We start from the raw sequence: 23,157 nt of genomic DNA, 5'->3' as shown, positions 1-23,157 counted from the left end.
GCAAGCCATGATTGCACCATTGCATTCCAGCCTGGGTGACAGAATGAGACCCTGTCTCAAGAAAATAAGGCTGGGTGTGGTGGCTCGCTCCTGTAATCCCAGTACTTTGGGAGGCCAAGGTGGGTAGATCTCTTGAGCTTAGGAGTTTGAGACCAGCTTGGGCAACATAGACTCTCTCTACAAAAAATGGACATCCCATCTCTACCAGAATACAAAAAAGTAGCCAGGTATGGTGGCATGTACCTGTGGTCCTAGCTAGTCAGGAGGCTGAGGTGGGAGGATTGCTTGAGCCCTGGAGGCAGAGGCTGCAGTGAGCTGAGATCGCACCATTGTACCCCAGCCTGAGTGACAGAGTGAAACCCCATCTCAAAAAAAAAGGAAAAGTTATTCTGCAGTCAATTGCTTCTGGATATTAGGTTGTTTTTAAAGTACAAGGTGCTGTTTTTTTTTGCCATGTTAACTAGGCTGGTCTTGAACTCCTGGGTTTAAGCAATAGAGGTAGGGATAGGATAGGGTCTCCCTAGTCCCAGTGCTTGGGGAAAGACCTGGCCCACAGTGGCCCACTAGGAAAGATCTGTTGGGTGAATGAGTACGTGGACATATATCTATTTGATTATCCCAATGAGAGAATTCAGCATGTTATAACAAAGGTAGGGAAAAGTTTTCAGTTTCCTAAGAGGTGGCTCACATTTGAGAAGTGACAAGGAGAGCCAGGCATCAAGTGGACAACCAATAACTACTTTATCAGCAGCCCTAGAGTTGCTCGGGCTCAGGGAAACGTTTCTGTAAATCATTTCTCAGGGAACACAGAATGCCAGCCTCATAATCCTGGGGCCAGAAAACACCTGTTGGTCAGTTGGCGTATTTTTTAAATATTAGATTTATGTAAAAGGTGCATCTCTTTTTAAATTACAAAAGTAATACTGTCTCACTGTAAAAAAAATACATAAATATATAAAGTGCATTAGTCCGTTTTCACGCTGCTGATAAAGACATACCCAAGACTGGGTAACTTATCAAGAAAAAGAAGTTTAATGGACTCATAGTTCCCCGTGGCTGGGGAGGCCTCACAGTCATGGCAGAAGGTGAAAGGCACATCTTACATGGAAGCAGACAAGAGAGAATGAGAACCAAGAGAAAGGGGTTTCCCCTTATAAAACCATCAGATTTCATGAGACTTATTCACTACCACGAGAACAGTATGGGGGAAACCGCCCCATGATTCAATTATCTCCCACTGGGTCCCTCCGACAATATGAGGGAATTATGGGAGCTACAATTCAAGATGAGATGTGAGTGGGGACACAGCCAGACCATATCATAAAGCTAAACACACTTAATTGTGCTCCCACAGATAAGATTTTTAACAATTTAGAGAGTATATGTATATAAAGTGCATGCTGTTTTGTTACCTTTCTTTCATCTCACAACACATGCCAAATGTCTTTCTATGTCCCCAGATTTGGTTCTCTCCTGCCTTGTGTAACATCTGCATTGTGTGGCCTGATGTAGCATATATCAGTCAAGGTCCAATCAGGAGTCAGAACACACACAATGACTTGAAGAGGGAAAATTTACTATAAAGAATGATTAATAATAACAGGTTTGGGAGCTGCGCATGGTGGCTCACACCTGTAGTCCCAGCTATGCAGGAGGCTGAGATGGGAGGATCACTTGAGCCCAGGAAGGAGGTCAGGGCTGCAGTGAGATGTGATAGTGCCATTGCACTCCAGCCTAGGTGACAGAGTGAGACCCTGTCTCTAAAAATAATAATAATAATAACAACAGGATTGCCTACTAAGGAGTAAAGAGAATACTGAAGAATTCAGGAGTAGCAGCTCAGGGGAGCAGCCACTGCTCCTAGGGCTGATGCTTCAGGAGGAAGCAGCTCTGGAGGAGCCTCAGCCAGAACCCAAGATCCACACCTTCCTGGAGAGGATGTAGCTGTGGCCTGCCGGGTGGCCAAGAAGTTTGCTGAGGGGCTGCCCTAATGAAACTCACTGGGATAGGGGGCCAGGAGAAGCCACCATGGGGAGGTACTGCATGTTGCTGGCCACCCAAAAAATTAAAGAAAGGATCTGCGCATGAAATCCCATTTGTAATCCCAGCTCCTTGGGAGGCCAAGGCGGGAAGATTACTTGAGCCTGGGAGTTCGAATCCAGCCTGGGTAATATAGTGAGACCCTTGGACTCTAAAACCAGAAATTAAAAAAAGAAATTAATGCATGGAAGGAAGAGCCAGAGGAAGCTGGAATCAGAAAGCAAAGCCCCAGCTCCTCCAGCGTCTCTCCAGCACCCTCTACAGAGGAAGCCTTCCATGGTACCAACTGGCTGGGTGGAAATGCTGCAGTAACATGAGCTGGCCATGAAGGTGGATTTGGAGATGAGAGGCCGTGGCCACCCACATACTTGGGAACGTGCACCTGGCACACAGGTGGTGGTTGGGAGGGATTGCAGCTCCTGCAGTGATGCCTGGTTTGTGGTGGGCATTAAAAGCCCCTGCATACTTCTGAAAAACCCCAGACCCCAAACTGTAATTTAGTGGCTCAGGGCTGGGCCCAGAGGTCTGTACTTTTTTTTTTTTTTTTTTTTTGAAACATAGTTTCACTCTTGTTGCCCAGGCTGGAGTGCAGTGGCGCGATCTTGGCTCACTGCAACCTCCGCCTCCTGGGTTCAAGCCATTCTCCTGCCTCAGCCTCCTGAGTAGCTGGGATTACAGGCATGCACCACCACACCTGGCTAATTTTGTATTTTTAGTAGAGACAGGGTTTCTCTGTGTTGGTCAGACTGGTCTCGAAGGGTCTGTACTTTTCACAAGTACACAGAGGAGTCTGTTGTGGGTGATCCTTGGACAACACATGAGGAACCCTGGCTTTTGGTGGTTTGGTCCTTGACTCTGTCGTTTCTAGGCATGGCTAACTTACTTACCTCATTTTCTCCTCAATCTAGAGTGTCTGTCTCATAAATGAAGTGACAATGTAAAGTGCAGTGGCTTCCATCAGTGCTAGTGATGATTAGTGTCTAAAGCCTGAAGCTTTCATCACCTGGTGCATCCCTCTGCACTCTAGCGAGACCTCTGCCAAGAAGACCAAACACACTTTGGGCAAGGCCCTTGTACCGTTGGTCAGAGCTGCCAAATTCATGCTCGTGGACGCTGTTCCCCTTTCCTAGATTCTCTGCAGACCCTTCTTTGATCCCACAGTCCCCTCTTGCTAGTACTTCCTCCTTCTTCTCCTTAACAGCTTTGTCAAGTGATACACCTCTCCAGGCCTTCTCCCTCTCCATGTCTCCTCATACCTCTCCAGCTTGGCTTCCCTCCCCATCGCACCACTGGACCAGAGACCTTCATGTAGTTAAGTGCACTGGATGGTTTTCTGGCTTCATCTGATGATGTCTCAGGAGCATACCACGTGGTTAACATACCTTCTCCCTGGGCTCAGGACATCTCGTTTCCTCCTGCCTTCCTGGGCATCCACCCGTCATCTCCTCAGTCTAGGCCCTTTACTCTTCGAAGCACTCACAGCCTGCTCCCCAGTTTGCTATCATTCGTTGTGTGCTGCGCCCAGGTTTCCTTTCGCAGCTTCTATGCCATGTAACCATTTGACTTCATTCATTCATCCCCTCAGTCAGAAGAAGAGTCTTTTTTTTTTTTTTTTTACAGGGTCTCACTCTGTTGCCCAGGCTGGAGTACAGTGTTATGATCATGGCTTACTGCAACCTCAACCTGGGTTCAGTTGATCCTCCCACCTCAGCCTCCTGAATAGCTGGGACTACAGGTGTGCATCATCATGCCTGGCTAATTTTTGTATTTTGTTAGACACAGGGTTTTACTATGTTGCCCAGGCTGGTCTTGAACTCCTGGGCTCAAACATTTGACCTGCCTTGGCCTCCCAAAGTGCTGGGATTACAGGCATGAGACACCTCATCTGGCCCAGAGCCATCTTTTCAAAGCACAAAGCTGGTAGTGTCCCCTTGCACGTCCACGGACCCCCACATGCGTCCCTTCACACCCCCACATACCCCAGACCCTTTTAAATTGGATCTCTTCCATGGTGTCCCACCATCTGCTTGGCCTGCCAGCCCCTGCTGACTGCTTTCCAGCTACTCTGCTGTTCTTTTATTTCCTCAACTCTGTGGTGTTCCTTCCTGCCACTGGACCTGTGCACATGCTACTCTCCCTCCCCACTACCTAATGTCTCTTATATGTAGGCATGTGAAACGTGGTGAGTTGTGGGGTTTGACTTTTTTTTTTTGAGACAGGATCTTGCTCTGCCACCCAGGCTGGAATACAGTGGTGTGATCATAGCTCACTGCAGCCTCTACCTCCTGGGCTTAAACCATCCTCCCATCTCGGCTTCCCGCAGTGTTGGGATTACAGGCATGAGCCACTACATCCTTATATGCTCAAATATATCTGAAAAGAACCATACCCAGTTGATAACCATGGTTACCTCTGGAGAGGGGAAGGTTTCGAGGGATTATGGTCATGGGTGAATTTTGATTTATCTGTGTCATTAAAATTTTTGACAGCAAGAATGTGTTCATGTCATGTGAATTTTCTTTCTATAAAGATTGGAATAGGGCCAGGCACAGTGGCTCAGGCCTATGATCCCAGGACTTTAGGAGGCTAAAGCAGGAGGATTGCTCGAGCCCAGGAATTTGAGACCAGCCTGGGCAACACAGGGAGACCCCGTTTCTACAAAAATGTAAAAAATTAGCCGGCATAATGGCACACACCTGTAGACCCAGCTACTCTGGAGGCTGAGGCAGGAAGATCACTTGAGCCTGGCAGCTGGAGGCTGAGGCAGGAAGATCACTTGAGCCCGGCAGCTGGAGGCTGAGGCAGGAAGATCATCTGAGCCCAGCAGCTGGAGGCTGAGGCAGGAAGATCATCTGAGCCTGGCAGCTGGAGGCTGAGGCAGGAAGATCGCTTGAGCTCGGCAGGTTGAGGCTGCAGTGCAGTTTCCACCACTGCACTTCAGCCTGGGTGACAGAGTGAGACCCTGTCTCAAAAAAAAAAAAAAAAAAGACTGGAATAGACCCAGCATGACACCTTGTATGCAGCAGGAGTATGCCCAGTATTGAAGCCTTTTGCTGTTATTTTATGTCTATCCCCCTCACCCATATAGGTAATAGAAATGAGGAGGGTGAGGACTCTGGAAATCTTTTTGAGAAATGATAAATAAGAACACAGGACACAAAGTAGATTCACAGAACCAAGTGAACTGCGTGTACATTAAATGTACATTAAATACAACATGAATTTGGGATGCTGTAAATTGTAAGTTTAATCTTTATGAGACTCTTTTTCTGAAAAGTTCATGACTAAGATAAAATAGCATGATTTCCTTTGGGAAAATTGAATTGCCCCTTAAAAACTTTTTATTGTGATCATTTTTAATGTGTACAAAAGTAGAGAGACTAGTAAAATGAACTCCCACTTGTCCACCTATGCATCTCCCCACTTCTATAGCTGTCAACAATTTTCTTATTTTTTTGAGGCGGGGTCGCTCTTGTTGTCCAGGCTGGAGTGTGGTGGCGTGATCTCAGCTCACTGCAACCTTTGCCTGCCAGGCTTGAGTGATTCTTCTGCCTCAGCCTCCCGAGTAGCTGGGACTGCAGGTGTGTTCCACTGCACCCGACTAATTTGGTATTTTTTGTAGAGACGGGGTTTTGCTCTGTTGCCCAGGCTGGTCTCAAACTCCCGGGCTCAACCGATCTACCTGCCTCGGCCTCCCAAAGTGCTGGGGTTACAGGCATGTGCCAGTGTGCCCGACCAGCTGTCAACCTTTTGCCATTCTATTTCATGTAACTCCCTGCTCCCCCAATTTTATTTTGTGAAGAATTTAAGGGGGACATAGAAGACTCCATTAAATATGAAAGCAGTCAGATCTGAGGTAGCATTGTGTGATACCAAATCAAGACTATTGTAAAGGTGTTATTAAAAATATATATTTTTTCTTATTGTATCACTTTAAACATTTGCTCATTGGAAATTTGTTCAGTGCCAGCCGTGTGTCAGAGATGATAGAGCCACAGGCCTTTCCCCTCGCATCCCAGCTGCAGAGGAGGAGATGCAGATTGCAAACCGTAGTCTGGGGTGCTAAGGTGGGCAGTAGAGGTGGTTGTCTCTCAGTTAGGGAAGGTGGTAGGGAAAGGAGGGTTCATCAAGCTGAACTCAGAAGGACAGGGCAGGATTTCACCTGGTGTCCAACGCAGGAGAGCAGTCCAGGCTGCCCCTGGACATTTGACTGAAAGCAGTTTGGTTAAAAACAGTTGATCAAGATGACTTTGGCCAAAAATGAGCTCTTCAGTGACGAGTTGCTCAATGCATCAGGGAGTAGATTTATTATTTATTTACTTATTTCTTTTTTTGAGATGGAGTCTTGCTCTGTTGCGCAGGCTGGAGTGTCATGTTACAGTCTTGGCTCACTGCAACCTCTGCCTCCCAAACTCAAGCAATTCTCCTGCCTCAGCCGCCCAAGTAGCTGGGATTACAGGCAAGTGCCACCATGCCCGGCTAATTTTTGTGTTTTTAGTAGAGATGGGGTTTCACTATGTTGGCCAGGCTAGTCTTGAACTCCTGACCTCAAGTGATCCATCCACCTCAGCCTCCCAAAGTGCTGGGATTACAGGCATGAGCCACCGTGCCCAACCAGGAAGTAGATTTAGAATCTTGTATGTATCTCTAGCATTTTCTTCTGTTGTCTGAATTTTGTAGGGTTTTTTCACCTATTTTTTGCATGTGTTTCCAGTTTATTTTCAGCTGGTTATTTCTGCTCTGCAAATTAATAGTAGAAAGTTAAAAGCAACTCAGGGCCAGGCACAGTGGCTCACGCCTGTAATCCCTGCACCTTGGGAGGCCGAGGCAGGTGGATTATCTGAGGTCAGGAGTTCAAGACCAGCCTGGCCAACGTGGGGGAACCCTGTCTCTACTAAAAATACAAAAATTAGCTGGGTGTCGTGGCGCATGCCTGTAATCCCAGCTACTTGGGAGGCTGAGGCAGGAGAATCATTTGAACCTGGGAGGCGGAGGGTGCAGTGAGCCAAGATTGCACCATTGTACTCCACCTGAGGGACAGAGTGAGACTCCGTCTCAAAAAAAAAAAAAAGCAACTCGATGTCCAACTTTTTACAACATGAATGTGTACAGGCAAACTGGGGTGTAAGATCACCTGCTTCCTAGGGTACCTGGATTACAGATGTGTGGAAGATGAGTAAGTGGGTGAGATTTGTTTTCCTCTCTGTCGTTGAGACAGTTTGCTTCAAGGAACAACTATTTTTCTGACCAGGTTGGATGATGCATCTAGGGAGGGTAGGCCAATAGGAGTATGCGTTGGCCCATCCAGGGAGTGGTGGGCAAGATGTGTGGAGCGTGATGGGGAGGAGTATTGGAAGGAGAGGAGGAGCCCGGCATGGGAAGATGTGTGGAGCGTGATGGGGAGGAGTGTTGGAAGGAGAGGAGGAGCCCGGCATGGGAAGATGTGTAGAGCGTGATGGGGAGGAGTGTTGGAAGGAGAGGAGGAGCCCGGCATGGGAAGATGTGTGGAGAGTGATGGGGAGGGGTGTTGGAAGGAGAGGAGGAGCCCGGCATGGGAAGATGTATAGAGCGTGATGGGGAGGAGTGTTGGAAGGAGAGGAGGAGCCCGGCATGGGAAGATGTGTGGAGAGTGATGGGGAGGGGTGTTGGAAGGAGAGGAGAAGCCTGGCATGGGAAGGGCTTGGAGACACTGAAGAGTTTGGCTTTGGTTCTGCAGCCACGTGAGCCACGGATGGTGGTCAGGCATGGGTATGGGAGAGAGATGACAATTTAGAGTCAGGCCCCAGCCTGGCTCTGGGACCCACTTGCCCTGTGACCCTGTGAATTTTATCCCTGTTCTGGGCCTTGTCGAGCTCCTCTGTAGAAGGTGAATTTCTATGATTGTACTTTCTGAGTTGTCATATTTCATTATCTACTTTAAAAGTTTATCTCTCTCTCTTTTTCTTCATCAGATGGTAAACACCCTGTTCTGAATTTAAAGGTAAGATCATTTTTTTTAAAAACTGATTTTCTCAATAAATAGAGTTTTTATCATAATTTTTCATAAATTTTCAACAACTTTGGTGTTGAAACTTTGGCGGTGATTTTGGGGCAAAAATAAATCTTCCCTTAAGAGTTCTTTCCTGTTGAATATTTCTTTTAAATGCTTTTTTTTTTTTTTGAGAAGGGGGTCTCACTGTCACCCAGACTGGAGTGCAGTGGCGCAATCTCAGCTCACTGCGGTCTCCGTCTTCCAGGCTCAAGCGATCCTCCCACCTCAGCCTCCCGAGTAGCTGGGATCGCAGATGCATGCCACCACACCCAGCTAATTTGTTGTATTTTTGATAAAGATGGGGTTTCACCATATTACCCAGGCTGGTCTCAAACTCCTGAGCTCAAGTGATCTGCCCATCTCGACCTCCCAAAATGCTGGGATTACAGGCATGAGCCACTGTGCCTGGCCTTAAATACTTTTAAAACATGAGGAAATTGATATTTTCCATAGTTTAATGATGAAAGTAATGTATTAAAGGGTTAGAAACTACTTTATAATTAAAATGAATGTGGAATGAATAGACAATTTTATCTTTTGTTAAAATTATTTTTTGAGACAGGATCTCCCTCTGTGACCCGGGCTGGAGTGCAGTGGTGTGATCATAGCTCACTGTAGCCTCAATCTCCTGGGATCAAGTGATTCTTTTGCCTCAGTCTCCTGAGTAGCTGGGACTACAGGCACATGCCACCACTCCTGGCTAATTAAAAAAAAATTTTTTTTTAGAGATGGGGTCTTGTTATGTTGCCCAGGATGGTCTCAAGCTCCTGGGCTCAAGCGATCCTCCTGCCTTGGCCTCCCAAGGGCATTGGGATTGCAGGCATGATGTGACGTGCCTAGCCTGAGATATTTTTCTGAGATGGAGTCTTGCTCTGTCACCCAGACTGGAGTGCAGTGGCGCAGTCTCGGCTCACTGCAACCTCCGCCTCCTGGATTCAAGTGATTCTCCTGCCTCATCCTCCCGAGTAGCTAGGACCACAGGTGCATGCCACCATGCCCAGCTAATTTTTGTATTTTTAATGGAGATGAGATTTCACCATGTTGGCCAGTCTGGTCTCAGACTCCTGACCTCAGGCGATCCCACCTGCCTCGGGCTCCTAAAGTGCTGGGATTACGGGTGTGAGCCACCACACCTGGCCTGGCCTGAGAATTTTAATAACTAATTTGCAAACATGGAAATAGTTCTAACTTAAGTTTTTCATTGTGCGATGTCATAGGAACTTAAAAATTAAACATTTCTCTGCAGAGTTAATTTATAACCTTGTCTACTTTGTCAGCAGAAATTAGAAACTTAATATCACACCACCATGTAAGGAAAAATTAACAAAAGTTCACAGCCTTCCCTTTCCTCTAGGTTTGGGGTTGAGAAGCAATATCTTACTGTTCCTTTCTCAGCATTTTGCAAATGTGCTTCCCTGCAGTTGATGGGGTCCTTTTTGCCCATCCCAGTGAGAAGAGGCCTGGCTGGAGTTTGCTGAGGGCATCTCTGCTCAGCACTTGCAGCCCTACCTAGCACATGCTTTTCAACGTGAGCCCACAGCCCGCTACTCACGGGATCTACCTGTAAGGACAGTCACTGAACTCAGTGCAGAAAGGCAGGAAGAAAGCTCAGGCAGGACTTCCTTTATAGCCTCAGAGAGCCCACCAGAGGGGAAGACACTTAAGGTCTCAGATTCAGGTATAAGAAACAGTGTAATCCCAGCATGTTGGGAGACCAAGGTAGGAGGATCCCTTGAGCCCAGGAGCTCAAGGCTAGCCTGGACAACAGGAGACCCCATCTCTACAAAAAAAAAAAAAAAAAAATTAGGTGTGATGGCCCATGTGTAATCCCAGCTACTTGGGAGGCTGAGGTAGGAGGATTTCATGAGCCCAGGAGTTGGAGGCTGCAGTGAGCTGCGATCACACCACTGCACCCTAGCCTGGGTGACAGAGTAAGACCCTGTCTTAAAAAAGGAAAAAAAGAAATAGTACATATTAAAGTTTTGAAAGCTAAAACAAACAAAGAACAAGAGTCAAAATGAAGGAAATAAAGCATGCTTATATACCTGCTGTCTAATGACCTAGCTGCGTGTGTCCACTTTATAAAACACTAATGCTCTGCACTTATTCCTCTTATGTTCTTTCTTTCCTAGGATGAAAAACCTCCATTATGTGAGAAACCTCCACCCTCCCCAGGTATTTGCCTTTTGAATTATATTATGATTGAAAAGCTTGTTTTGGAGAATATCCAGATTAATTTTATCTGAAAATAAAGATTACATTTTCTTTTTCTTGTATTAGTTGTTGAACTTTCACCCTTGCCTCAAAAGAGAGGGTCCAAACACTAGGTAGTGGACGTATGTCCATACAGGATGTGCTTGGGTCCTGGGAGGGTGGGGGTTGGACCTGGGGGGACGTGGACCTGTGGGATATGCTGGGATCCTGGGGGAAGGGAGGTGGACCTGTGGGATGTAATGGGATCCTGGGGGTGGAAGGAGGACCTGTGGGATGTGCTGGGATCCCAGTGGGAGGAGTGGACCCATGATGTACTGGGATCCGTACTGGGAAGGCAGGTGCAGTTATGGGCTCTGCTCTGAGGCTGAAGGCAGAGGGAGAGGTCTAGAGATGCTTTATGGGTTATGCCCCCTGAACAGTTTGGGGAGCTTCAGTGGCTTCCAAAATGGAGGTTATAATTTTTGCTGTTAGGTCCCACATTGTTACAAGATCTTTGGGGTGTCGCTTTTCTGGTCGGAAATGTCTGTGGTGCCAGTGTGCCTTTGCCTGAGTTCTTGTCCTGCGTCCAGGAAGAATGAGGTAAGCAGACAAGTGGAGGGTGAGCAAGACGAAGAGGAGCTTTACTGCATGTTAGAACAGTTCAGAGGAGACCCACAGTGGGTAGCTCCTCTCTGTAGGCAGGTCGTCCCGTTAAGTGTTCAGCTCTCAGCAGAGAGGAGGTCCCCTGGAGTCGATGGCTCCTCTCTGAAGGCAGGTCACCCAACTGTCTCTGCAGCTCTCAGCAAAGAGGAAGCCCTGGAGAGGGTTGTTCTTCTCTGCAGCTGGTTATTCTGACCAGCTCCTAGTAGAGAGGAGGCCCTGGAGTGGGTTGCTCCTCTCTGCTGCTGGTCCTCTGACATCTCCAGCTATCAGCAGAGAGGGGAACTCCTCTCTGCAGCTGGTCATCTCATCTGCTCTGCTCCAACTAAGCCCAGGGCTTTTATGGGCCTCAGAAGGGAGGAAGTGCGCACCGATTGGTCCATGGGTGGCCATGGGTGGGCCTGGAAAAGGCACCATAAGTTCCTACTGCAGTCCCACGGGACAGGCAACCCGGTCCCCAGCCTTCAGGCCCTCTCCGACCTGAAGGCGGGGCCTCACCGGGGACCTGCCTGCTTCTGCCCAGGAACCTGTCTCCCTCCTGCTGCCCAGTCCATGGCACCCAGGCTGCTCACACCAAGGGGCAACTGCAGGCCAGTGCAGAGCCATCCTCAGCACCCCCTTGTCTTTCCCTCCTGTGCTCATGGGTGCCCAAAGTCTGGAGGGGGCTGAGGCGGCAGGGCGCTGTCGTGTCAGTACTGCCCTGAGTATGCACACTCCCAGCCAGGCTGTGACAGTGCCCAGGCTTGGCCTAAACCCCGCTCCAACCCTGCTGCAAGACTGGAGCAGGCACCAGGAGCAGGGAGAGACCAGGCAGCTAGAGCAAACACCCATAAGCCTGCGGGGACACGGGAGCCTTCCCAGGCCCCCGAGGGTGCAGACTGCAGAGACACCCAGGTCCTACACATGGGAGGGCAACTGTAGCAGCACCCCATGAGCTCCTGCCCCACCAACTCAGAAGGGGCAGGGCTCCCGCTTGTCCCCGGCTCCTGATGGCTCTGTGGAGCATGCAGCCCTGACCATACCTCTGGAGCAGGTGCCCACAGTGGGGTGAAGCCAGGCAGTGGGATCAGGCACTTCGGAGCCTATGGTGGGTGGTGGGGGCCTTCTTGGGCCCCCAAGAACACAGAGATTCTCGGGTCTGCAGCCGGGCTTGGGCAGCTGCAGCAGCACCCAGGGAGGGCCGGGGCTCCTGCCTGCTCCATGGAGCAAGAGGCTTGGGCCACACCTCCCTGCTCTAGAGTCTGTGCGGTGGCCACTCTAGATGGGCCACTGCTGCCATCAGTGTCACTGCTCTGAAAATCCTGGTTTAAGTCTCCTCCGCGTCAGATTAACTTTATTTGCACCCTTTCAATCTCAGCATTTTCAATGCTGTATTCTGGGCGATTGCTGGGGCTCCAACTTCTGCGCCATGCATTCATTTTTCATGATGTGTATCCTGCGGCTCAGCCCATCCTTTCAGTTTATGGTGTTAATCAAACGTTAACTTCCATGATTTCTGTGACACTGACTACGTCTCTCTGAAAGTTGTAACCATGCGCATCCAGTCTTAGGGTTTGTGTTGCAGCCCCTTCTCTTCTCTCACTTGCCATTGGTGTTCTCTGGCTCTGCTGTTTGATACCTCTTGGGGTCTCTGAGATTCCCTGTGGCCCACATGGGGATGCTACCTCTGTTTACTGCACCCTGCCTGAAGAGGGAGAGCCAGCAGGCTGCCAGGCTGTACCGACTGCTGCCTCCAGCAACTGATGGGGATGGACAGGATGTGAGGCCCACCGGGATCCGTGGGGACCCCTCTTCCTCCTGGCTTTCTCCAGCCCCCTGCCCTGCCTTTCTGCCCTCAGGGCCTGTGTGTTCTGCCTGAGGAGGGGCACACATTTCTGCTGTTGCTGCCTGGGTCAGGTGGGTTAACCCCTTGCTATTCCCACTCTGGTTATCTAACTCAACAGCTCATCAGCTGCTTCAAGCTGCTTCTTTTTAAATATAATTTTATTTATTGATTGATTTTTGTAGAGATGGGCTCTTGCTATGTTGCTCAGGCCGGTCTCGAACTCCTGGCCTCAAGCAAGCTTCCTGCCTCAGCTTCCCAAAGTGCTGGGATTGCAGGTGCGAGCCACCAGGCCCAGCCTCATCAGCTCTTTCTAGGCCACTTTGTGTCTCCACTCCTACCAGGGCAAGGTGTATCCCTGGAGCCACCCCTCCCCATTTTCTAGCTGCCCTCTCTTGGCACATTTCAGGCTTGGCACCCATCTTCATTCTCATCTCAACTGTTTTATCTCTGGGATTTCTCAGGGTTCCCTTGTTTCTATGTAGCTGTGGAGTTTCCCATTTCTGAGCCTCACCTTTTGCATGTTAGGGATTGGATATGTGTGTGTCAGAGGTTGGGCCAGGCTCTCTGGAGCCACCAGCCATCCTGCCCTCGTCTGTGTGGAAGCTCTGCTTCCGCCTCTCCCTCCCCTGGGAGGTGCGCTGGCCAGGGCCCATGGGAGCCTCACCTCCTGTGACCTTTCGGAGCACATCTCCCCGTGGAACAGCGCTGGTTTCCACCCCACTTTCTTGCTCTTCCTTCTTAAGGTCCTATGTGACCTCGGTTTTCTCCTCACCCTGGTGCCTTCAGGTGCTGCCCACAGGCCAGTGGCTCGTCAGTCTCCCCAGCAGAGGCTGCCCTGGGACTCTGGGCCTCTGTACCAACCCAAGCCTGCCTCTCCTCATCTTCCATCCCCACCTGCTCTTCACAGTGTGCTCCTCATCTGGGGGAGCATCTGCCAGACACAGACCTGGGTGGTCATCCTGGGTCTGCTTCTCTCTCACTGCCCGCACCCAGCCAGCCACCAGCCCCTGAGTCCTGCTCTCATGTGTCCTTTTCTCTGTGTCCCCACTCTAGTGCTGCCCCTCAGCTGTTGGGCTAGGCCTCATTCTAACCTGCCTTCTTCCCTGCTGGCCTGAGGGATTCACCCAAGAGCAGAGCCTCTTCCTTCTCACACCTTTGCTTGAAAGCCCTGCTGGCTCCTGCTGCCCTGCAAGATGAACTTTCCATGCCACATCACAATAGGCACGGCCTCCTGCAGCTCTGGCCTCCCTTTCTGGCCTCCCCTCAGTACCTCTCTTCCTGCCACCCGCTGTGACTTCATCAGGCCACTTACTGTTTCCTGTAGAAGCCATTCCCTTCCCAGGGACCAAAGAACATGGCACCAGGCCTGATGTGGTTTTTGGAACAAAGTCAGTTGATTTTGATGTAACATTGTCAACATCAATTAACATTGTAAAATTTTCCCCTGAACCCTTTCAGATATAACTGGTAGAGCACGTCAAAGATATACAGAAATAACCAGAGAAAAGTTTGAGGCATTAAAAGAAGAAAATATGGACCTAAACAATATGAATCAAAGCCTTACCCTTGAACTAAACACAATGAAACAAGCAATGAAAGAACTACAGTTAAAACTTAAGGGAATGGAAAAAGAGAAGAGAAAGCTCAAAGAGGCTGAGAAGGCGTCGTCACAGGAAGGTGGGGACAGACAGAGTGCCTTTATTAGAGGAATGAGCAGGACTTCACTCAATTATTTTGAGAGTTAATATTTTATGTTGTGATATTTGTGTTGGTAATTTATGTTGTAATATTTCAGGTTTTTTTGTTAATATCCTTATGTTTGTTGAGATTTGATTTCATCTGCTATATCATTATTACACTAAAGAAATTCCTCAGGTTGGAAAGAAGCTGAATTTACAAAAACAAAACAGAGATTCCAATACTTCTTTTGGAACTTGATGCTTAGCTTACATATATTTCACTTCAGTTTTTATCCCTAAGAGAAGCATAAAAAAGCTCCTCCTTTACCGTAGACTTACCAATGATTATATTTTCCTTGCTACTTTTATAGGTTAAAAAAAGAAATAGTATTTTAATTTGTATTTCTGTTATTATTGAACTTGAATATTTTTTCATATCTTTGCAAGTCATTTTCTTTTTCTTTCATAAAGCTGCCCACTTTATTTATTTATTTTTTAGAGACAGCATCCCACTCTTGTCACCTAGGTTGGACTACAGTGGGGTGGTCAGAGCTCACTATAACCTTGAACTCCTGGGCTCAAGTGATCCTTCCACCTCAGCCTCCTGAGTAGCTGGGACTAAAGGCAAACGCCATCATGCCTGGCTAAGTTTTTTTTTTTTTTAATTTTTTTTATAGCAGTGAGGCCTCATTGTGTTGCCCAGGCTGGTCTCAAACTCCTGGCCTCAAGGATTTTTCCTCCTTGGCCACTTAAAGCACTGGGATTTTAGATATGAGCCACTATCATGGCCAAGTTGCCCACTTTACAATGAGACACTTGACTTCTTTTTATTGATTTGCAGGAACTCCTTACATATGAAAGATTTTATCCCTTTGTCATAGGTGTAATATTTTCTTAGTTTGTTGATAATTGGGCTAAATCAATAAAATGTTTTTCTTTTATGACTTACACTCTTGGTATTAAGTCATTTTTAACTCTAAGGTTATATAAATATTCACCAATATTTTCTCTATACCTTTTTCTATTTATATAAAACTAATATAGCTTTAAGTAAGGTGGTGTCAGTTTTTTTCACATAGACCCTGCATAATTCTTATCTTAGGCACATTTATTTTTAGATACTATATATTATTTGTGCTGTTACCTTGTGGGATCTATTTTCTGTTTTGTTTTCTAATAGGACATTGCTATTATGTGGGAAGGTTATTAGCTCTAATACATTTTCCATGTATTCTATATGATTTTTCTCTTTCTTTTTTTTTTTTTGTGAGATGGAGTCTCCCTCTGTTGCCCAGGCTGGAGTGCAGTGGCGTGATTTCGGCTCACTGCGAGCTCCACCCCCTGGGTTCACGCCATTCTCCTGCCTCAGCCTCCCAAGTAGCTGGGAATATAGGCGCCCGCCATTACGCCCGGCTAATTTTTTGTATATTTAGTAGAGACGGGGTTTCACCGTGTTAGCCAGGATGGTCTCGATCTCCTCACCTCGTGATCCACCCGCCTCGGCCTCCCAAAGTGCTGGGATTACAGGCGTGAGCCACCGCACCCGGCCTCTGTATGATTTTTCAAAGCACATATTCTTATGTCATCTGAAACAATGACTATTCCTTTCCAACTTGAAATTTTTATTTTACTTTATTGTACATGCAAAAACTTCCACAAACTTTCAATATAACGTTAACTATTCAGTGTTAAAAAACGTTGTAACTTTTATTCATTCACACACACAGACACACATACACACACAGACACACACGCACACACAGTTCATTGCCTCTGAGCGTGAAAGAGGGGAGAAAAGCAAACGATTTGCAATTTAATAAAATCTGGATAAATTGGATGTTATTTCTTATAGTATAATATTAAATTTTTTTCCCTAGTTGCTGCACCTGAATTACTTTATCTGCGAAAACAAGCTCAAGAACTGGTGGATGAAAATGATGGATTGAAAATGACTGTCCATCGTTTGAATGTAGAACTCAGTCGATATCAGACAAAATTCAGGCATTTGTCCAAGGAAGAGGTAACGTTTCCGATTGTGAAAATCAGCTTTTCAGATTTTTAAGCCTTTACTGTTGAATTGATTTCCAATCTTGAGAGGTTCTTATTTATTATAATTTGATGTAAGAAAAGCTCTGTCCAAGGCACAATGTTTCTAAGGACCATTCTGTTTCTTGCCTCCTTCCCTTCCTTCTTCCCCGTAATAAAGGCAATAAAGACTGTAAAACATTGGGACAATACAGAAGTGTACAAAGTAAAAGAGGCCGGATGAGGTGGCTTGTGCCTATAATCCCAGCACTTTCAGAGGCTGAGGCGGGAGAATTGCTTGAGCTCTGGAGTTTGAGACCATCCTGGGGGACATGGCGAGACAGTCTCTACAAATAAAAAATTTAAAAAAATTAGCTGAGCATGGTGGCGCATGCCTGTAGCCCCAGCTACTCAGGAGGCTGAGGCAAGAGGATCTCTTGAGCATGGGAGGTCAAGGGTGTGGTGAGCTGAGATTGCGCCACTACACTCCAGCCTGGGTGACAGAGCAAGACCCTGTCTCAAAAATTAAAAAAAAAATAACAAAAGTAAAAGAATGAAAGTGTATGTCGGCTGCTCCCTTCTCAGTCACGTTCCTGAAAGTTGCAGCTGTTGTCAGTGCATTAACTTCGAAAGGAAAGCAGAGTTTTCAGTTCTAAGAACAGTTGCAGAGTCCAACTCCACACACTCTCACTGAGCAGGTCACTGCATGAGATGCCGGGAGGAGTGCCAGATGAACCGATGCTCAGGTCCTTACTCTTACAGAACTTGGGGCTGTGAAGATGTGAGTGACACTGTGGACACAGGAGAGGGAGGCACCGCTGGCTGGGCTCTTGCTGGGGTAGAAGGCGGGAAGGCACACGGTGTTCTCCCATGGCTCCTGGGAGTTCAGGCCTCATGGGCTTCTGAGTTGCTTTTTGAAGGAGGGCTTACGTTTCACTTTTTTTTTTTAATAACAGCTTTGAAATATAATTCACATACCATCCAATTTATACCCATTTTAAAAGTGTACCATTTAGTGGTTTTTATTGTAGTCACAGAATTATGCAACCATCACCACAGTCAATTTTAGAGCACTTTTGTTAAATCAAGAAATGTTGGCTGGGCATGGTGGCTCACACCTGTAATCCCAGCACTTTGGGAGGCTGAGGTGGGCGGATCAGTTGAAGTCAGGCGTTTGAGACCAGCCTGACCAACATGGTGAATTCCCATCTATGCTAAAAATACAAAAAAATTAGCCAGGCATGGTCGTGCGCACCTGTAATCCCAGCTACCTGGGAGGCTGAGGCAGGAGAATCGCTTGAACCTGGGAGGCAGAGGTTGCAGTGAGCCAAGATCATGCCACTGCACTCCAGCCTGGGTGACAGAGAGAGTGAGACTCTGTCTCAAAAAAAAAAAAAAAAAAGGAAAAAAAAGGAAGTGTCATACCTGTTGGGAATCACTCCCTATGTTCCCCTGCTGCCCAATTCCTCCAGCTCAGCCCCTGGTAACCACTAATCTATTTTCTGTCTCTATGAACTTGTCTGTTCTGAACATTTCATAGAAATGAAATCATACAAGACATGACTTTGTGTGACTGACTTCTTTCACTTAACATAATACTAACTTTTAAACAAAAACAAATAAAGTTCTTAGGGTCCTATAATTCAAAACCTGCTTGCTAGGTCAGGGCCTTCTGCAGGACCATGGGGCGGGCAGACAGGCCCAGGGACAGCCTTCTCCCATGTTGTCTTCTGCCCTGTGCAAATGCCATGTTCTCCAAGACAGTCTTCCCTGATCACCCCAGCCAGAAGTGATTGATCTCTCTCTCTCTTTTTTTTTTTTTAGACACAGTCTCTCTATGTCGCCCAGGCTGGAGTGCAGCATGCACAATCTCAGCTCACTGCAATCTCTACCTCCCGGGTTCAAGTGATTCTTGTTTCTCAGCCTCCTGAGTGGCTGGGATTCCAGGCGTGTTCCACTGCGCCCAGCTAATTTTTGTATTTTTAGTAGAGATAGGGTTTCACCATGTTGGCCAGGTTGGTCTCAAACTCCTCACCTCAAATGATCCACCCTCCTCAGCCTCCCAAAGTGCTGGGATTACAGGCATGAACCACCATGCCCGGCCCTCTCTCTCTTTTAAACCATTGCAGACTTTTGTTTGTAATCACTCTTAAGGCACTTATAGCATTCTACCCTATACTGTTTTTGTATATCACGTACATTTGTGTTAGTGGATTTTATTTCTGTTACTAGGTCATAGAATCCTTGAAAACAAGGGTTGCGTTGCAGTGTCCATAATGACTTAGTGAGTTGCCAATGTTTGCAGAGTGAGTGAGTAATTACATAGATATTAAGGTGTTCACATTGTAAAGCTTTTGTGAAATAAATAATTATTTTGTCTAGGCCATTGATTCTGTACTAGATTTTCCCTCCTAATCTAAACAAATAGAAAACCAGACAGAATATGTAATGCAAATGTTTACAGATGTCGAACAGCAGGCAGCACCAGCCTATGACCCTCAAGAGTAGCAGGATAAATAGATGAGCCTGTGATCTGCTTTCTGTCTGGAGGCAGTCTCAGATCACAGAGCAGGGAGGAAGGGCCTGAGCTGAGCCCTTCCCTGAGTTCAACAGAGATGAGAGTCTGGGGAAGCTGAGGAGACTAGAATTCGTAGGGCAAGAATACCAGAAAGAATGGAGTCCTGGAGAGAAAGAGCTACTTATATAAATCTGCATGGGGCTCCTTGGAGTCTTGTGGAATACCACCCTGCACATGTGTAGGATGAGACTGCAAGATACTGGGCAGAAAATAAGAACAGGGAGCTGTGAGCTGCATGGTTCCCAGAGCTCACACAGCACCGGGAACCTTCGAGTTCTGCCCAGCCACAATGGAGAGACCTTGCATTGAGTCAAGAGCCCAGGAGGGCCGTGCCTGAGATGTATGGCTAAAAGAGCTTTTTAGGAAAGGTTACTACAGACCTACCATGACCAGGGTGAAAAAACAAGCCTCAGAAGCATGAAGGTGATCCACAAGCAACTTAGGAGTTGAAAGAAAAAGAGAGAGAGAGAGAGGAGGGAGGAAGGAAGGGCGGAAGGAAAAGAAACCAGTACTCTTTAAAGGAAGATAACAAAATCCAGACACTCAACAATGTGACATTAAAAAGTTCCATATCCAGTGAAAACAGTCACTAGATATGTTCTAGATTTTAAAAGACTAAAAAGGGCTGGAGGCCAGGTGCAGTGACTCACACCTATAATCCCAGCACTTTGGGAGGCTGAGGTGGGCAGATCACTTGAGGTCAGGAGTTCGAGACCAGCCTGGCCAATATGGTGAAACCTCGCCTCTACTAAAAATACAAAAATTAACCAGGTGTGGTGGCACACACCTGTAGTCCCAGCTACTCGGGAGGCTGAGGCATGAGAATTGCTTGAACCTGGGAGGCAGATGTTACAGTGAGCCGAGATCATACCACTGTACTCCAGCCTGTGCGACAGAGCGAGACTGTCTCAAAAAAAAAAAAAAAAGAAAAAAAAAAAAAAAGCCAAGTGTGCTGGCTCACACTTGCAATCCCAGCACTGTGTGAAGCTGAGGCAGGAGGATCACTTCAGGCCAGGAGTTCAAGACCAGCCTGGGCAACATGGTGAAACCCCATTTCTACAAAAAATACAAAAATTAGCCAGGTGTGGTGGCATGCACTTGTAGTCTGAGCTGCTCAGGAGGCTGAGGTGAGAGGATTGCTTGAGCCCAGAAGGCAGAAGTTGCAGTGAGCCATGATCTCACCACTGCACTCCAGCCCGGGTGATGGAATGAGACCCTGTCTCAGAAGGAAAAAAAAAGGACATAAAAGACTTGACAGCTAAATGCAACATGTGACCCTGAATTGGATCCTTGATTAGAAAAGAACATTAGTGGGAAAATAGATGAAATTTGAAGATAACATATAGGTTAGGTTAGGTTAAAAAATAGTATTATAGGCTACTCTAGGCACACTGCCTATGGGGTACCCCTGCTCTGCAAGGAGCAGTAATATATATATATATATGAAAATAGTATTGTTATCTGTGTTGATTTCCTGATTTTCATGACAGTACTGTGGTTAAGTAAATGAATGTTTTTGTTTTTAGGAAATACAAGTATTTAGAGGAAAAGGGGCATTATATCTGCAAATTACTCTAAAACATTTCAGAAAAAATATTTCTCTCATATATACATATATACATATAGATAGATAGATGGGTAGGTGTATGGGAAAGTGGATGGATGGATGGATGGATGGATAGATGGATGGATGGATGGATGGATGGATGGATGGGTAGGTGGGTAGGTGGGTGGGTAGGCAGATGGATAGACAGATAAATGCATAGATGGGCAATGCCCAGTCTAGATTAAGAATATCTAAGACTTGAAAATTCAGAGGAAGTGTGGTTTAACTTGTCTTCAATACATGTTTTGTTCTTAGAGCTTAAATATTGAAGGCCTCCCATCCAAGGGCCCTATACCACCCTGGTTGGTAAGTGAAAGTTATTTAATTTCAGGCCCATATTTTCAGGGTATATTTGCATAGCTATTAAAAACCATTTCAGGCCAGGCGCGGTGGCTCATGTCTGTAATCCCAGCACTTTGGAAGGCTGAGGCGGGTGGATCAGTTGAGGTCAAGGGTTCAAGACCAGCCTGGCCAACATGGTGAAACCCTGTCTCTACTAAAAATACAAAAATTAGCTGGGCGTGATGGTGCATGCCTATAGTCCCAGCTACTTGGGAGGCTGAGGCAGGAGAATCGCTTGAACCCGGGAGGTTTAGGTTGCAGTGAGCTGAGATCGTGCCACTGCACGCGAGCCTGGGCGGCAGAGTGGGAATGGCTTCGGGCAACGGAGCTCATTCTGACCGCAGGAGGTCAAGCCTGTGCGGGTGTTGTAGATGCCTCCTGTGCCTCCTGCATGCCTCTGGGTTCCTCATTTAAGTGGCCATATAGATCCCTGAAATTGGAAGGATCCAAGGAGAGAAATGTTGGTTGTTCTGGGATCCTGAGCTGGGAGAGTCGTTAAAAAACAATAACAACTGCAACCAAAGAAACCATTTCAAAAAAGTATAACTTCTTGCCATTTAAAAATTTTCTGGTTGTGTTTAGATGTAAGAAATATATTAACCTTCCTTTACTCTCTATCTTCAGTTGGATATAAAGTACCTGTCACCATTGTTGCTGGCTTATGAAGATATGATGAAAGAGAAGGACGAGCTCAATGCCACCCTCAAGGTAGGCTGGCAAATGTCCCAGAAGACACAAGATTTATAAAAATATAGGACCGCTTCAAATTTTATAAAAACATTTTGAATGTAGGTATACCCAGCATATTATAGATAACCAAATGTTTATTAGAGGACAGAAAGGAGGAAGGAAGGAGTGTGGCAGGGTGGGAGGCAGGGAAAGAAGGAAGAGGGGAGGAAGTAAGGGAGTGATTGGCAGAGCAGGAGGGGTGGATAGGGAGCGAGGGGAGAGGTATGGAGGGTCAGAGCAGTGCTGCATGAGAAGCCATGGCTTTCTGGACAGCCAGCCCATATGGGCTGAGATCTTGGGGTGCAGGGAAGACAGCAGGGGGGAAGTGCTTCTTTCCTGTTACTGTGCAGCTGCAAATACCACCATTAGAAGGGACATTTGGGCTGGGCGCGGTGGCTCACGCCTGTAATCTCAGCACTTTGGGAGGCCGAGGTGGGTGGATCACATGAGGTCAGGAGTTCAAGACCAGCCTGGTCAACATGGTGAAACCCCGTCTCTACTAAAAATACAAAAATTAGCTGGTGTGGTGGCACGTACCTGTAATTCCAGCTACTCAGGAGGCTGAGGCAGGAGAATAGCTTGAACCAGGGAGCTGGACGTTGCAGTGAGCCGAGATTGCATCACTGCACTCCAGCCTGGCGATGGGGCCAGACTCCGTCTCGAAAAAAAAAAAAAAAAAAAAAGGGCTATTTGGGCAGACATGGGAAGGAAAGGCTGGAGATGTTTTGGGCAAACTTAGATGCTTCTTAATTCTAGGATGAGCTGACCCCAGGGAAGTCTGATTGCTGAGCTGTTGGAAATGGAGAAGTGAGGTTTTTATCCATTTCTGCCTTGTCCACCGCCGTTTTGTGGGAATGACTTCGCGCAGCGGAGCTCGTTCTAACTTCAGGAGGCCAAGCCTGTGTAGGTGTTGTAGATGCCTCCTGTGCCTCCTGCATTCCTCTGGGTTCCTCATTTAAGTGTCCATATAGATCCCTGAAATTGGAAGGATCCAGCGAAAGAAATGTTGGTTGTTCTGGGATCCTGAGCTGGGAGGGTCCTTTAAGAGGCTCCCAGCTTGTTCCTAATCAGTGATGCTGTCCCGTGTCCATGTCCCATGGAAAGGAATTTTAATCCTTTTCATTTAGACTGAGTGTTGGATGCTTAATTTTCTAAGAGCATGAATGAATCTTGTACTAATTGAATATATAACAATCCTAATAGCTAATAATATTATTTTTTTGGTGCTCCTTCTAAGTCAGGGTCAGCACAGACTTTCTGTCAAGGGCCAGTTAATAAGCACTTTAGGCTTTGGAGGCCATGCAGTTTCTGTTTGCACCTGCTCAGCCCTGCTGTTGCAACATGAAAGCAGATGAGGATAACATGTAAATAATGGGCGAGGCCCATTATTTTATTTATAAATAAATAAAACTTTATTTATAAAAACAGGCAGCTGGTTTGCACACTTTA

At 46.9% G+C, this 23,157-nt stretch overlaps 1 protein-coding gene across 5 annotated transcripts in view, besides 2 other annotated features; it reads left to right on the top strand.

The window, feature by feature from the left end:
- The window catches only part of CEP89 (centrosomal protein 89), a 96,034-nt gene that overhangs the window by 24,082 nt on the left and 48,795 nt on the right, over positions 1-23,157 (top strand). For 4 of the 5 annotated variants that reach the window (XM_005259344.4, NM_032816.5, XM_017027398.2 and 1 more), the window contains exons 6-11: positions 7,992-8,020; positions 10,204-10,246; positions 14,208-14,426; positions 16,306-16,448; positions 20,893-20,943; positions 21,604-21,687. In XM_005259344.4, the coding sequence (XP_005259401.1) occupies positions 7,992-8,020; positions 10,204-10,246; positions 14,208-14,426; positions 16,306-16,448; positions 20,893-20,943; positions 21,604-21,687 (569 nt within the window). Of the gene's footprint in view, positions 1-7,991; positions 8,021-10,203; positions 10,247-10,759; positions 10,865-14,207; positions 14,427-16,305; positions 16,449-20,892; positions 20,944-21,603; positions 21,688-23,157 lie in introns of those variants that run through there. The other variant, XM_047439562.1, reaches the window with a different exon arrangement.
- Positions 11,257-11,756: an enhancer, noted in NCBI's record as "H3K4me1 hESC enhancer chr19:33427027-33427526 (GRCh37/hg19 assembly coordinates)". NCBI's record gives its function as "activates a minimal SCP1, AML or CMV promoter by ChIP-STARR-seq in naive H9 embryonic stem cells {active_cell/tissue: H9 hESC(naive)}" and the evidence as "EXISTENCE:reporter gene assay evidence [ECO:0000049][PMID:30033119]".
- Positions 11,757-12,258: an enhancer, noted in NCBI's record as "H3K4me1 hESC enhancer chr19:33426525-33427026 (GRCh37/hg19 assembly coordinates)". NCBI's record gives its function as "activates a minimal SCP1, AML or CMV promoter by ChIP-STARR-seq in naive H9 embryonic stem cells {active_cell/tissue: H9 hESC(naive)}" and the evidence as "EXISTENCE:reporter gene assay evidence [ECO:0000049][PMID:30033119]".

The sequence above is a fragment of the Homo sapiens genome, chromosome 19 (assembly GCF_000001405.40).
Source record: "Homo sapiens chromosome 19, GRCh38.p14 Primary Assembly".
Lineage (NCBI taxonomy): Eukaryota > Metazoa > Chordata > Mammalia > Primates > Hominidae > Homo > Homo sapiens.
Note: the sequence above shows the minus strand (reverse complement) of the source record. Positions and strands in the feature narration are given on the sequence as shown.